General features: G+C 36.0%; 1 pseudogene; it reads right to left on the minus strand.

The window, feature by feature from the left end:
• Positions 1 to 15,163, minus strand: part of SLC9B1P3 (solute carrier family 9 member B1 pseudogene 3) — a 48,295-nt pseudogene extending 33,132 nt beyond the window's left edge.

Consider the following 16,068-nt stretch of genomic DNA (forward strand, 5'->3'; position numbering starts at 1 on the left):
TACTGAGCTTGACAAGCTGATTATAAAATTCATTTGGAAGAATAAGATCTTAGAATGAAAGATCAAGTAAACTTAAGAAAACAAGATACTGTTTTTGTAAAGGTAAAATAGTTAAAACTGAATAATAGTGACATATAAATAGACAAAATAAATTGGAAGAAAAGAGAATACAAAGTGTGGAAACAAATCTATGGGATTTGTTACATCATACAATTTGTATTTTAAATCGGTGGGAGAAAGAAAGAAATCTTTCACAAACGGTGCTGAGATAACTATTTATGTGGAAAGGAATATAGATCGATCCTTAAACATAATAAATGTTAAAAGCTCAAAAGGAAAAGTAGTAATAAGAAAATGTAGTGGGCTAGGCATGATGGCTCACACCTGTAATCCCAGCACTTTGGGAGGCTGAGGTGGACAGATCAGGAATCTGAGACCAGCCTGGCCAACATGGTGAAACCAATAGCTGGGTGCAGTGGTGCATGCTTGTAGTCCCAGCTACTTGGGAGGTTGAGGCAGGAGAATGACTTGAACCTGGGAGGTGGAGGTTGCAGTAAGCTGAGGTCATGCCACTGCACTACAGCCTGGGTGACAGCAAGACTCTGAACAACAACAAAAAAAGATGTAGAATAATATATTTGTGATCATGAGGTAAAAAGGACCTTTTGAATGATACATACAAAGGCATTAGACATAAAAAGAGATTTTGATACATTCAATTATATTAAAGTAGTACTTCAAAAGTACTATAATAAAGTACTACTTCAAAAGCAATTCTGCTCTTTCTTCCCCTTTTACTCTTTTTCATTTTCAAAGTCAAGTGAACAGTGCTGTGTATTGGCAATTCTGTCTGTTGAAAATAACAAAATACACTTCTTAGAGTGAAAAAAAATCATCACAAACAAAATTAAATATCTACTGATATTTGCAATACATATAATTTACAAATGCATATAACAGATATAATTAATAAAGAAGATCAACTCAACAAAAAAATGGACAAAGGATATGAACAGGCTAGTTACAGATAAGGAAAAGCTGAAGGACAACACATATATAAAAGATATTCAAGCTTGTGAATAATCACAGAAATGCAAATTAAAATAACAAAAATATGCCATTTTTTCAATTATCAGACTGGAAAACATTATAAAATTTAATAATATCAAAGATTTGCAAGGATTTTCAAGAACATCAGGTAGGCTCATAAGCTATTGGTATTGGGGCAAATTAAAGTGGCCATACTGAAAGGATTTTGGCAGTATACATCAAACTAAAAATGCATGTAACCCAGGTAACTATTCTAGACAAACTTATATTTATGTAAAATGAGACAAATAAAATGCTATTTTTGTTATAACATTGTAAATAAAATCTGCTGTTGACATACAATGTAATCTTATACAATTAAAAGGAATAAACTACATATGTATCTATCTTGAGATGGATAAACTTCAAGACTATTGTTGAATGAAAAGAACAAATTGTAAAGTAAAATTTTCTTGGGTATGATTAAGTAAAAGTGCACAAAATAATACTCTTTTTTTCTCTGGGTTCACAAATACATTTGTTAGAAGTCCAGAACATTATTTTTAAAGATCTAGAATGATAACATAAAACTCATGAAGATGCTGCCACTCTGTCTCCAGCAGCACATGAGTGCTCCCCACAGCACCATTGCCCCGGCTGGCACGTGTAAGTATGCAGAACACCCCATCCCACTCCTGCCGGCACTGCACCCCTGCCAACACAAGCATACCTGCTCTGTGCTGCTGCTGCTGGCACATATGTGTGAGTGGGGACCTTGCTACAATCACTACAATGAAGCACTTTGGCTGACACACCCCATCAGAGTGTTGTTGCCAGTGGACTGGGAACACCTCAGTGCTTAACACTGAAGGGCCAGACAACAAAACTGTGGGTATGGTACCAGCCTTGCAAAGTTAGAGCATGCAGTTCAGGAGTGCTGAGCTGAGCCTTTGTCCCCTGAAATCTTCCAGAAATGAATCCATTTGACTGAAACTACCTTGTGCCACAGTCAAACCCTCAAGGGCATTAAAGAATATAAAAAAGGAAAAAACTCCATCCAAAGGACAGTGATTCAAAACATTAAAGGAACTTTAGCCCACACAGATGTGAAAGAACCAGTGCAAGAACTCTGGCAATGTAAAAAGCCAGAATGTCTTCCTGTCTTCAAGCAATCATACTAACTCTCCAACAATGGTTGTTAACCAGGATTAAATGACAGAATCTGGATAGAAACAAAGATCATTGAGATTCAGAAGAAAGTCAAAATCCAATCCAAATAATGTAAGGAATCCAATAAGATGACATAAGAGCTGAAAGATGAAATAGGCATTTTAAGAAAGAACCAAACTAAACTGATAGAGCTGAAAAATGCACCTCAAGAATTTCATAATACAATAACAAGTACTAACAGCAGAACGGACCAAGCTGAGGAAAGAATCTCAGATCTCAAAGACCACTTCTTTGAATCAACTCAGTCAGATGAAAATAAAGAACAAAAAAGAATGAACAAAACCTCTGAGAAATCTGAGATTATGTAAAGAGACCAAACATATGACTCAAGACATCACTCAAAGAAAGGGAGAAAGAACAAGCAAGTTGGAAAACGTATTTGAGGATACTGCCCAAAAAATTTCCCAAATCTTGCTAGAGAAGTCACCATTTGAATCCAGGAAATGCAGAGAATCCTGTGAGATACTATACAAGATGACCATCCTCAAGACAGAGAGTCATCAGATTCTCCAAGGTCAACATGAAATAAAAAAATATGAAAGACAGCTAAAGTGAAGGGTCAGGTCACATACAAAGGGAATCCCATCAAGCTAACAGTGGAACTATAAGATACTCTACAATCCAAAAGAAATTGGGGGCCTATATTCAACACTCTTTTTTTTTTTTCGAGACAGAGTCTCACTCTGTTGCCCAGGCTGGAGTGCACTGGTGCTATCTCGGCTCACTGCAACTTCCAATTCCCGGGTTCAAGCAATTCTTCTCCCTCAGCCTCCCAAGTAGCTGGGACTACAGGTGCGCACCACAACACCCGACAATTTTTTATAATTTTAGTAGAGACAGGATTTCACCATATTGGCCAGGGTGATCTCAAATTCTTGACCTTGTGATCTGCCCACCTTGGCCTCTCAAAGTTCTGGGATTACAGGTGTGAGCCACCATGCCCGGCCTTCAGCATTCTTAAAAAAAAAATACTTGGCCAGGTGTGGTGGCTCATGCCTGTAATCCCAGCACTTTGGGAGGCTGAGGGGGACGGAACACAAGGTCAAGAGATCAAGACCATCCTGGCCAACATGGTGAAACCTCATCTGTAATAAAAATACAAAAATTAGCTGGGCATGGTGGTGCGTGTCTGTAGTCCCAGCTACTCGGGAGGCTGAGGCAAGAGAATCACTTAACCCAGGAGGTGGAGGTTGCAGTGAGCCAAGATAGCACCACTGCACTCCAGCCTGGGGAGAGAGCAAGACTCTGTCGCAAAAAAAAAAAAAAAAAAAAAAAATCAACCAAGAACTTAATATCCAGCCAAACTAAACTTCATATGTGAAGGAGAAGTAAGGTCCTTTTCAGACAAACAAATGCTAACGGAATCTGTTACCACCAGACATGCCTTACAAGAGGTACTTAAGCGAGTGCTAAGCACGGAAGTGAAAGACTGTTAATGGCCACCAAAAAATACATTTAAGTACATAGACCATTGACGTGTAAAGTAACTACACAATCAAGTCTGCATAATAACCAGCTAACAACATAATGGCAGGACCAAAGCTATAAATACCAATATTAACTGTGAATGTAAACAGTATAAATGACCTGCTTAAAACTCACAGAATGGCAAGTTGGATAAAGAAGCAAAGCCCAACTGTATCTGTTGTCAAGAGATCCAGCTCATATGCAACAATACTCATTGGCTTGAAGTAAAGGGATGGAAAAAAATCTACCAAGCAAATGCAAAACAAAAAAGGGTAAGCATTGTTATTCTAATTCAGACAAAATAGACTTTAAACCAACAACAATCAAAAACACAAAGAAGGGCACTACGTAATGATAAAGGGTTCAATTCAACAAGAAGACTTACTGTCTGATAGATAAATGTGCTCAAAACTGGAGCATTCACATTCATAAAACAAGTTCATAGAGACCTATAGAGAGACTTAGATAACCACAGAATAATAGTGGGAGAATTCAACATCTCACTGACGGTACTAGACAGATCATAGAGACAGAAAATGAACAAAGATATTCAGGACTTGAAGTCAACACTTGGCTAAATGGACCTAACAGCCATCTACAGAACACTCCACCCAACAACAACAGAATATATCTTCCTCTCATCTGTACATGGCATATATTGTAAAATTGATCACACTATCAGTCTAAAATTATTTTCAATAAATTAAAAGAAACCCCAGAAATCATGCCAACCACACTCTTGGACTGCTCAGTGTAACAAAAATAGAAGTCAACACTAAGAAGAACTCTCAAAACCATACAATTACATGGAAATTAAACAACCTGTGCCTGAATGACTTTTGGGTAAACAATGAAATTAAGGCAGAAACCAATAAATTCTTTGAAACTAATTAAAACAAAGATACAACATTCTAGGCTCTCTAAGACACAGGCAAAGCAGTGTTGAGGGAAAAATTTATCGTGCTAAAGGCCCATATTGAAAAGTTAGAAAGATCTTAAATTAACAACCTAATATCATACCTAAAGGAAATAGAAAAACAAGAATAAACCAACCCAAAGCTAGCAGAAGAAAATAAATAACCAAAATCAGGGCAGAATGGAATGAAATTGAGTCATGAAAAGCCATACAAAAGATAAATGAAACTAAAAGCTGTTTCTTCGAAAGAATAAATAAATTTGATAGGTCACTAGCTAGACCAATAAGAAAAAAAAAAAAGAGAAGATACAAAAAACACAATCAGAAATGGTAAAGTGGACATTACCGCCAACCACACAAAAATACAAAAAACTCTCAGAGACTATGATGAACATATTTATGCAAACAAAGTAGAACACCTACAAGAAATGGGTAAATTTCTGGAAACATACAACCTCCCAAGATTGAACTAGGAAGAAATTGAAATCCTGAACAAACCAAAAATGAGTTCTGAAACTGAATGTGTAATAAAAAGTCTTTGAGCCAAAAAAAAAAAAAAAAGCAAGCCCAGGACCCAACAGATTCACAGACAAATTCTACCGGAAGTGTAAAGAAGAGCTGGTACCAATGCTACTGAAATTATTCCGAAAAAATGAGGAGGAAGGATCCCTCCCTAACTCATTTTATGAGGTCAGCATCATTCAGATATGAAAACCTGGCAGAGACACAACAAAAAAGAAAACTTCAGGACAGTTATCACTGATGATCATAGATGCAAAAATCCTCAATAAAATACAAGCAGACTGAATCCAGCAGCATATCAAAAAGCTAGTCCACTATGATCAAGTAAGCTTTATCCCTGGGATGCAAGTTTGGTTCAAGATATACAAACCAATAAATGTGATTCATCATAAAATAGAACTAAAAGTAAAAACATCCGTTCATGATATAAACCCTCAACAAATGAGTTACTGAAGGAGCATACCTCAAAATATTTATGACATTTATGACATTTATGACATTTATGACAAACCCACAGCCAACTTCATACTGAATGGGAAAAAGCTGGAATATTCCCTTTGAGAACTGGAACAAGACAAGGATGCCCACTCCCACTACTCCTATTCATCATAGTGCTGGATGTCCTAGCCAGTGCAATTAGGCAAGAGAAAGAAACACAGACACCTAAATAGGAAGAATGGAAGTCAAACTATGCCTCTTCATAGGTGAAACACTTTTATACCAAGAAAACCCCATAGTAGCCTATCGAGAGCTCTCAGATCTGACAAAAGACTTCAGCAAAGTTTCAGGATACAAAAATCAATGTACAAAAATCTGTAGCATTTCTATACACCAACAACATCCAAGCTGACAGCCAAATCAAGAATGCAATCCCATTCACAGTAGCCACAAAAAAACTACAAAATACCTTGGAATACAGCTAAGCAGGGAGGTGAAAAATCTCTAAAATGAAAATTACAAGCGAGTGCTCAAAGAATCAGAGACAACAGAAACAAAAGGAAAACATTCCATGATCACAGATAGGAAGAAGCAATATTGTTAAAATGGCCATACTGTCTAAGGCTATTTACAGAGTCAATGCTATTCCTATCATACCACCAATGACATTTTTCACAGGATTAAAAAAAAGCATTCTAAAATTCATTTGGAGCCAAAAAAAAGAAAAAAAAAAGCCCAAATAGCCAAAGCAATCCTAAGCAAAAAGAACAAAGTCGAAAGCGTCACACTACCTGACTTCGAACTGTACTACAATGCTGCAGTAAGCAAAACAGCACGTTTATGCTCAGGAAAAGAAATAATCAGCAGAGTAAAAAGACAACCTATAGAGTGGGAGAAAATCTTTACAAACTATGCATCCAGCAAAGTACTAATATCCAGAATCTATAAGGAACTCAAAAACAGACATAGACCAGTGGAACAGGTTACAGAATGCAGAAATAAAGCCGCACACCTATAGCCATCTACTCTTCAACAAACTTGACAAAAACAAGCAATGGGGAAGGGAATCCCTACTTGGAAATTGTGCTGGGATAACTGGCTAGCCGTATGCAGAAAATTGAAACTGGACTCCCTATGTTTCACCGTTTACAAAAATCAACTCAAGGTAGATTAAAGACTTAAATGTAAAACCCAAAACTATAAAAACCCTGGAAGATAGCCTAAGAAATACCATTCTGGATACAGGCCATTCTGGACATATCCTAGGAAATTTCAATTCTGGAAAACACTTTATGACAAAGATGCCAAAAGCAATTGCAACAAAACAAAAATTGACAAATGGGACCTAATTAAACTAAAGGGCTTCTGCACAGCAAAAGAAATCATCAACAAACAACCTATGGAATGGGAGGAAATATTTGCAAACCATGCATTCGACAAAAGTCTAATATCCAGAATCCAAAAAGAACTTAGAAAAATCAACAAGCAAAAATCTAACAACCCCATTAAATGGGCAAAGGACAGGACAAGACAATTCTCAAAAGAAGACAAACATGTAGTCAACAAGTATACGGAAAAATATTCAACATCACTAATCATTAGAGAAATGCAAAACAAAAGTGCAATGAGATACAACCTCACAGGAGGCAGAATGGCTATTATTAAAAAGTCAAAAAGTAATAGATGCTGGCGAGCTTGGGGAGCTACTCCCAGGTCTTTGGAAGGCTGAGGCATGAGAATTGCTTGAACCTGGGAGACAGAGGTTGCAGTGAGCTGAGATTGGGCCATTGCACTCTAGCCTGGGCAACACAGCAAGACTCCATCTCAAAAAAAAAATACAGAAAGAGAAAGAAAGAAAAACCCACAGCCAACATTATACTGAATGGGGAAAAGTTGAAAGCATTCCCCCGAGAACTGGAACAAAACAAGGTTGCCCACTTTCACCACTTCTATTCAACATAGTACTGGAAGTCCTAGCCAGAGCAATAAGAAAAGAGAAAGAAATAAAGGGCATCTAAATCAGTAAAGAGGAAGTCAAACTGTTGCTGTTCCTGATGATATGATCATATAATGAGAAAACCCTAAAGACTCATCCAAAAAGCTCCTAGATCTGATAAATGAATTCAGTAATGTTTCAGGATACAACATCAATGTACACAAATCAGCAGCACTGGTATACACCGACGGTGACTGAGCTGAGAATTAAATCAAGATCTCAATCCCTTTTACAACAGCTACAAAAAAACCAAAACAAACAAACAAACAAAACCAAAGAAAAAACCCCAAGCAAACTAACTTAGGAATATACCTAACCAAGGAGGTGAAAGAGCTCTACAGTGAAAACTACAAAACACTGCAGAAAGAAATCATAGATGACACCAAACAAATAGAAACACATCACATGCTCATGGATAGGTAGAATCAATATTGTGAAAATGACCATACTGCCAAAAGCAATCTACGTCATCATTCTTCCCTGAACTAGAAAAAGCAATCCTAAAATTCATGTGGAACCCAAAAATAGCCCGCATAACGAAAGCAAGACTAAGCAAAAACAACAAATGTGGATGCATCACATTTCTTGACTTCAAGCTATACTATAAGGCTATAGTCACCAAAGCAGCATAATACTGGTATAAAAATAGGCACACAGACTAATGGAACTGAATAGAGAACCGAGAAATAAAGCCAAATACTTAAGCCAACTGATCTTTAACAAAGGAAACAAAAACATAAAGTTGGGAAAGGACACCGTATTCAACAAATGGTGCTGGGATAATTGGCAAGCCATATGTAGAAGAATGAAACTGCATCCTCATCTCTCACCTTATACAAAAATCAACTCAAGATGGATCAAAGACTTAAATCTAACACCTAAAACTATAAAAATTCTAGAAGGTAACATTGGAAATACCCTTCTAGACATTTGCTTAGGCAAAGACTTCATGACCAAGAACCCAAAAGCAAAGGCAACAAAAACAAAGATAAATAGATGGGACTTAATTAAACTAAGAAGCTTCTACACAGCAAAAGACATAATCAGCAGAGTAAAAAGACAACCTATAGGGTGGGAGAAAATCTTTACAAAACTATGCATCCAACAAAGTACTAATATCCAGAATCTATAAGGAACTCACACAAATCAGCAAGAAAAAATCAAATTATCCTATCAAAAAGTGTGCTAAGGACATGAATAGACACTTCCCAAAAGAAGATATAAATGGCCAAGAAACATGAAAAAATCCTCAATATCACTAATTATCAGGGAAATGCAAACAAAACCACAATGCGATACCATCTCACTCCTCCAAGAATAGCCATAATCAAAAAATTAAAAAAAATAGATGTTGCCATGGGTGTGGTAAAAAGGGAACACTTTTACACTGCTGGGGGGAATGTAAACTAGTACAACCACTATGGAAAAGAGTATGAAGATTTCTTAAATAATTAAAAGTAGATCTACCATTTGATCTAGCAATCCCACTACTGGGTATCTACCCAGAGGAAAAGAAGTCATTATATGAAAAAAACACTTGCACATACGTTTATTGCAGCACAATTTGCAATTGTGAAGGATATGGAACTAGCTCAAATGCCCATCAATCAAAGAATGCATAGAGAAAATGTGGTGTATATATATATATGTGTATATGCACACATATATGTGTATATATGTATATATATATATATGTATGTGTGTATATATATACACACACAGACCATGGACGGAATACTACTCAGCTATAAAAAGGAATGAAATAATGGCATTCACAGCAGCCTGGAAGGAGTCGGACACCATTATTCTAAGTGAAGTAATTCAGGAATGAAAAAACCAAACATTGTATGTTCTGACTTATAAGTGAGAGTTATGCTATGAGGATGCAAAAGCATAAGAATGATACAATGGACTTTGGGGACTTAGGGGGAAGAGTAGGAGGAGGGTGAGGGATAAAAGACTACACCTTGGGTGCAGTGTACACTGCTCTGGTGATGGGTGCACCAAAATCTCAGAAATTGCCACTAAAAATATTTTCCATGTAAACAAACACCACCTGTTCCTTAAAAACTAATGAAAAAAATAAAAAAGACATGAGATCAACCTAAATGCCCATCAATGGTGAACTGGATAAAGAAAACGTGGCACATATACACCATAGAATAATACACAGCCATAAGAAAGAACGAGATCATGTCCTTTGGAGCAACGTGGATGGAGTTGCGGCCATTATGCAAAGTGAATTAATGCAGGAACAGGAAACCAAATATCCCATATTCTCACTTATAAGTGGGAGCTAAACACTGAGTACACATGGACAGAAAGAAGGGAACAATCGTCACTAGGTGAATTTGAGGGTGGAGGGTGGAAGGAGGGGGAGAATAGAAAAACTACCTATTGGGTATTATACTTACAACCTGGGTGACAAAGTAATCTGCATACCAAACCCCTGTGACATGCAATTTATCCATATAACAAGCCTGCTGATGTACCCCTTGAGCCAAAATAAAAATTGGAAAAGAAAAAAACTCCTAAGAGTTGTCACTTTGGGTGGAGTTATGGGCATTATGATTTGAAGGCATAGTTTAAGGTCATTCCTCCTTTATTTATAAAGTTCTAATTTTTAAAATAAAAGTACATTTGAGTATTTTATTATAAACATTAATTTAAAAATTCACTGGATTTTGTAGTAACTATGTAATGGATGAACTTTGCTATGAGTGTCATTGGAATGGATAAGCAGAGACAAAATTTGCTGAATTAAGAAATGAAAAGGAGTTAGGATCTAGAGACAGTAGTTAGAGACTTATTTTGAGGAATTCAAACATAAGACAAATGGATGGTAGATAAAGATGGATGGGGCATTGGATATACGGCAAGAGTTTTTGTTTGCTTGCTTTCTTTAAAATGGGAGAGTTTATATTTATACACCTATGTCTATATAAAATGTTTTTCAAATATATATATACACATACATATATATGAAATGTGCAACTGTATTTACATATAGTTATGAGGAATAGGCCATTAGATAGATTAAAACATACAGATATAATACAGATGAAAAGGAATAAATTGATCACGTGAATTTTCTTGATGATAAACATTTAGGGGCTATGAATGTTTGTTAAAAAAATTTCGTGCAATTTGGGACATGCTCTGCTTTTAATCAACTGCTTTCCAAGGATTTTAACACTGTGAAATGAATTTTAATAGAGCTTTTCTATACAATATTCTGAATATTTTAACAGTTTTAACCAAGCATCCTTAATTGAATATTTTCATAAGAAAAAATGAGAAATAAATTACCCTAATAGAATTGCCCATTGCCAGGGAAATTTCATAATGAAGTGGGAAAAAACAGCAGCTGCACTTGCCTCCATAAGGCATGGACCTACAGCCAATCTGAAACAAACCACCTTCAAATGCCTCCAAGCCTGAAACACAAAACAGTCATATTTGATACATTTACAATGGCCAAAAAGAAAATTATTTTAACAAATGTTGGACTATAAAGTCTTTTTTCATAAGAAGTTTCACTAAACAAAATCTCATTTCAACAGATTGTCCCACTGGACTTTGAACTCTATTATATTTTATATGTCATCATAGGTTGGATTATAAACAATTTCATCTTTCATAAAATATTATTGTATTTTAATTATTAAAAGACCAATTTTACTGTGATTAAATAGCTAATGCTACCTTCCTGAACTTTCCTAATACATAGTATAATAATAGTGTCCTATTAGTGTTTTCCCATTGACTTTTTGATATGAACTGTTTGATTAACGTGATAAGTATAAATACAATACTAACATGCCAAAGAAAATAACTTAAAAACTGCATAATTCATTTTAAAAGAGAGAACTTTTCAATTTTCTCCTTGGTTCATACTTTCTACTGGAGAATATAATCTCATTGGCTATAATTATTTATGCTCTTGAGCTATTTCTATTAAACCACATTTGCCACATTTATTTGAGTGGCTGTCATATTCATGAATAGTCATCTTCTTATAGATGGGATTTATGATCCCTAGAATGTAATATTTTAAGAAATGCTTTAAAAGATTAGATTTTACAATAATGCAAAGATAATCAGGAACATAATCCTGTAGAGAAAACATAATAAAAAATTACTGAAATCCTTAATCTCCCTAAAAAAATAAAAAGAATTGTATAAGTTTTTTTTTTTTTTTCTGTATGTGACATTTTTTCTTTTTTTTTAATTATACTTTAAGTTTTAGGGTACATGTGCACATTGTGCAGGTTAGTTACATATGTATACATGTGCCATGCTGGTGTGCTGCACCCACTAACTCGTCATCTAGCATTAGGTATATCTCCCAATGCTATCCCTCCCCCCTCCCCACACCCCACCACAGGTTTTTCTTATAAAACATTTGTTTGTTTGTTTTGTTCTGTTTTTTGAGACAGAGTCTCACTCTGTCCCCCAGGCTGGATTGCAGTGGCACTATCTCAGCTCACTGCAACCTCTATCACTCAGGTTCAAGCGATTCTCTTGCCTCAGCCTCCAGAGTAGCTGGGATTACCAGGTAAATGCCACCATGCCCGGCTAATTTTTGTAGATTACAGGCATGAGCCATCATGCTCGGCCTATTTTTCTTTATCTTAGGTTTGTTTACAGACTCCACTTGGAACAGGTAAATAAAATTTTTGCTTATTTTTCTTTCTCACCATCCTCTAATATTTGAAATAACCTTACTCGATTTGTAATTGTAAATCTACCTGTGGATCGAGTCCAAGCCCAGCTCGTATTAGAATAATGTTAAGGGCAATGCTTCTTAAAATTGAAGACCATGCGTTAGGAACATGGACATGTTCATTGATGAATGGAACATTCCTAATTGTAAAACCAGCCAGTAACATCCCTTAAAAGAAAGAAAATAAACATACTTGACAGTTCATTTTTCTGAGAAAGAAAACAGAAATGTTTACTTTATTTTCTAATGCACTATGTCTCTCATTATTTTGGTAAAGGGCAGGTTACAAGCAAGTAGAGAAGGCAGCATGAATAAAGGAATGGCGATAAGAAACAATACACCTAAATGGGGTTCAACAAGTAATTTAGTGTTGCTGGAATATACAGGGCAAGGAAAGGAGGGAGGAGAATGAGCTTGGTGGGCCAGATCATAGAAAGGTCTCCCCCGACTTTGGCAAAGTAAGGCACCATGGGAAGGTTTTAGGCAGGAAGTAACATAATGAGTCTTGCGATTTTTATATGAGGGTCTTGGTGAATTAGTTAGGGATAAAACTGGAGACAGAGACCAAATTGAAGGCTCTGCCACAGTCCACGCAAAAGTTGGAAACAAATAGCCCAAGCTAGAGCAAAAGAGAAAGTTTGGAGAGGAGGAAAGTGATTCAATAAATACTTGGAAGGTGCTGCAAGAAAACTGTGGATACAGAAGGGACAGCAGAGATAAGATGTAGAGATTATCTCTACTGACAGTGTACTGAATATATATTTATTTTTGGGGACAGGGTCTCATTCTGTTGCCCAAGGTGAGTGCAGTGATGCAAACATGGCTCACTGTAGGCTTAAACTCTTGAGCTCAAGTGATCCTCTTGCCTTAGCCTCCTGAGTAGCTGAGACCCAGAAAAATTTTTAATATTTTGTAAAGAGAAGGTCTGCTATGTTGCCCAGGCTGGTTTTGAACTCCTGGGCTCAGGTGATCCTCCTGCCTTGGCCTCCCAAAGTACTGGGATTATGGGCATGAGCCACCATGCCTGGCCCACTGTACTGAATATTTAGACATATTTGAATACAGTAAGTTCTCACTTAACATCATCGATAGGTGATTGGAAATGGCAACTTTGAGTAAAATGGTATATAACAAAACCAATTTAACATAGGCTAAGTGATATAAAGAAGAGTGAATTTCCTACAGCATATTTCTGGTCACAAAACATCACCAAACTTCTAAATAAAGATCCAAAACACTTCTAGTATTAAACAATGAAATAAATGTGAGCTCTACATACATTTTACAAAGTTTTATAAAAACAAATAAGATAATTCTTTACTTAATTTTTGGTGAATCCACGAGTGATGGTGGTTATAGCAGTGATGGTTAAAATCAAAGAATAAATGTTTACAAAGTGAAAATTGTAAGGAGCACCTCCTCCCACTATGCAGCTCAAAAACAAACACAAATATGGTAGGTGGCTGAGAGTTTTCATATCACATTGTTTATTGTTTTGCATTTGTATGGTTATCATATACTTAACAAAATTTTATTTTACAATAATTTATATTCATTCATTTTTTCATTGTACAATCCACTAGTTCAGGGTCATTGTACAATCCACTAGAACAGTAGTTCAGGGTCAAAGGTGATTGAAACTTAATCCAAAAAAATCAAAGAGGGACTACCTTCCTAACACATTCTATGAATCTAGTATCACAATTATACCCAAATCAGGCAAAGCCATACACACACACAAACACACACACACACACACACACTCCACCGGTCAGTATCCCTGATGAACATAGATGCAAAAATTCTCAACTAGCAAAATGAATTCTATAGTACATCAAAAAGATAATATAGTTAAGTGTGTTTTACTCCAGAAATACAAGGATGGTTAAACATGTGAATCATTCTTCCATAAAGAGATGCACACACATATGTTCATTGTGGCACTATTCACAATAAAAAGACATGCAATCAACCTAAATGACTAAATAAAGAAAATGTGGTACATATACACCATGGAATACTATGCAGTCATAAAAAAGAATGGCATCATGTCCTTTGTAGCAACATGGATAGAGCTGAACACCATTATCCTAAGTGAAATAACTCAGAAACAGAAAACTCAAATACCACATGTTCTCACTTATATGTGGGAGCTAAACAATGGGTACATATGGACATAAAGATGGAAATAATAGACACTGGGGAGTCCAAAAGGAGAGAGGGTTGGAGGGTTAAGGTTGAAAAATTACCTATTGGGTATAGTATTCACTGTTTGGTGATGGGTTCACTAGAGCCCAAATCTCACCATTATGCAATATATCCATGTACCAAACCTGCACATGTACTCCGTGAATCTAAAATTTTTAAAGGTTCTATTAAACAAAAAAGCAACAGGAATAATGTGCTAAGGATATTAAATTTATTTCAAAAATAAATTTTGGGTAAAACTTGTGTGTGTATATATGTAGACAGAGAGAGAAATAAATGCCCATATAAAGGATCTGTACACACACACACACACGCAGTAAATACACACATGAAGAAACTATATAAAACATACTACATTGAAATATTGCTGAATTATAACTAATTCAACAAGAAAATGTTCAAAATTTGCATATAGTCAATAATAAAGAAAAGAGAGCTAATTATATGCTTACCAAGAAGAGGTGGAAATGGCGGCACTAAAGGTATTCTAATGAGTTGTAAATTTTTTCCCCCAATAATGGCACTATAAAAAATAATTAACAATCCAAATAAATTTCCACCAGGGAGAGCTTCAGAGCCTAAGATTGACCAGGTCATGTACCATATCACAAACAGTGTAACTCCTGAAATACGAAAAAGTGAACAGCTATATATCTACATACACATAGATGTATACAAACAAAGGATCAATTCTCTTTTATCATATATACTAATAGCCAGTTCTATAAAATGATACATGGTATAGATCAACATTGCTTACTAGTTTGGTGAAAGAGATATCTGCTTAACATATATTCCAAATAACCTGTCAATTTATGAAGTAGGTTTTAAACAAAGTGTTTTCACTTTAAAAATATTTAAAAACTGTATGTGGGCCAGGTGCAGTGGCTCACGCCTTAATCCCAGCACTTTGGGAGGCTGAGGCGGGCTGGATCACATGAGGTCAGGAGTTTGAGACCAGCCTGGCCAACACAGTGAAATCCCGTCTCTACTAAAAATGCAAAAATTAGCCAGGCGTGGTGGTTCGTGCCTGTAATCCCAGCTACATGGGAGGCTGAGTCAGGAGAATTGCTTGAACCCAGGAGGTGGAGGTTGCAGTGAGCCAAGATTGTGCCGCTGCACTCCAGTCTGGGTGACAGAGTGAGACTCAGTCTCAATAAAAAAATTAAAAAAAATAAAAAAAACCTATATGTGAACTCTTGAAAATGCTAACTTATAATACATGATAGTTAAAAACATCATGGCAATATGATGAGATTTACTTCATTTTATATTTTAAAATAGCTTTTTTATCAGGATGGAAAATAAGAGGATGATTGGCTGTGATAAGAATTCACAACCTTATTGAAGATCACAGTGTCAAGGTGCCAAATCTTTTAACAGGAACCTGCTAAATCTTTTTATTGAAAGGATAATTCAACTGATTTTTGGCATAAATGTATTATAGGAGGTAATGGCTGGAAGAAATGAACCTAGATTTTGTGGGAATAAATATAAAGTATCTTAGATTATGTGTAGGAGGTAGAGGGAGATTAA

Source organism: Homo sapiens, chromosome 10 (assembly GCF_000001405.40).
Source record: "Homo sapiens chromosome 10, GRCh38.p14 Primary Assembly".
Classification (NCBI taxonomy): Eukaryota; Metazoa; Chordata; class Mammalia; order Primates; family Hominidae; genus Homo; species Homo sapiens.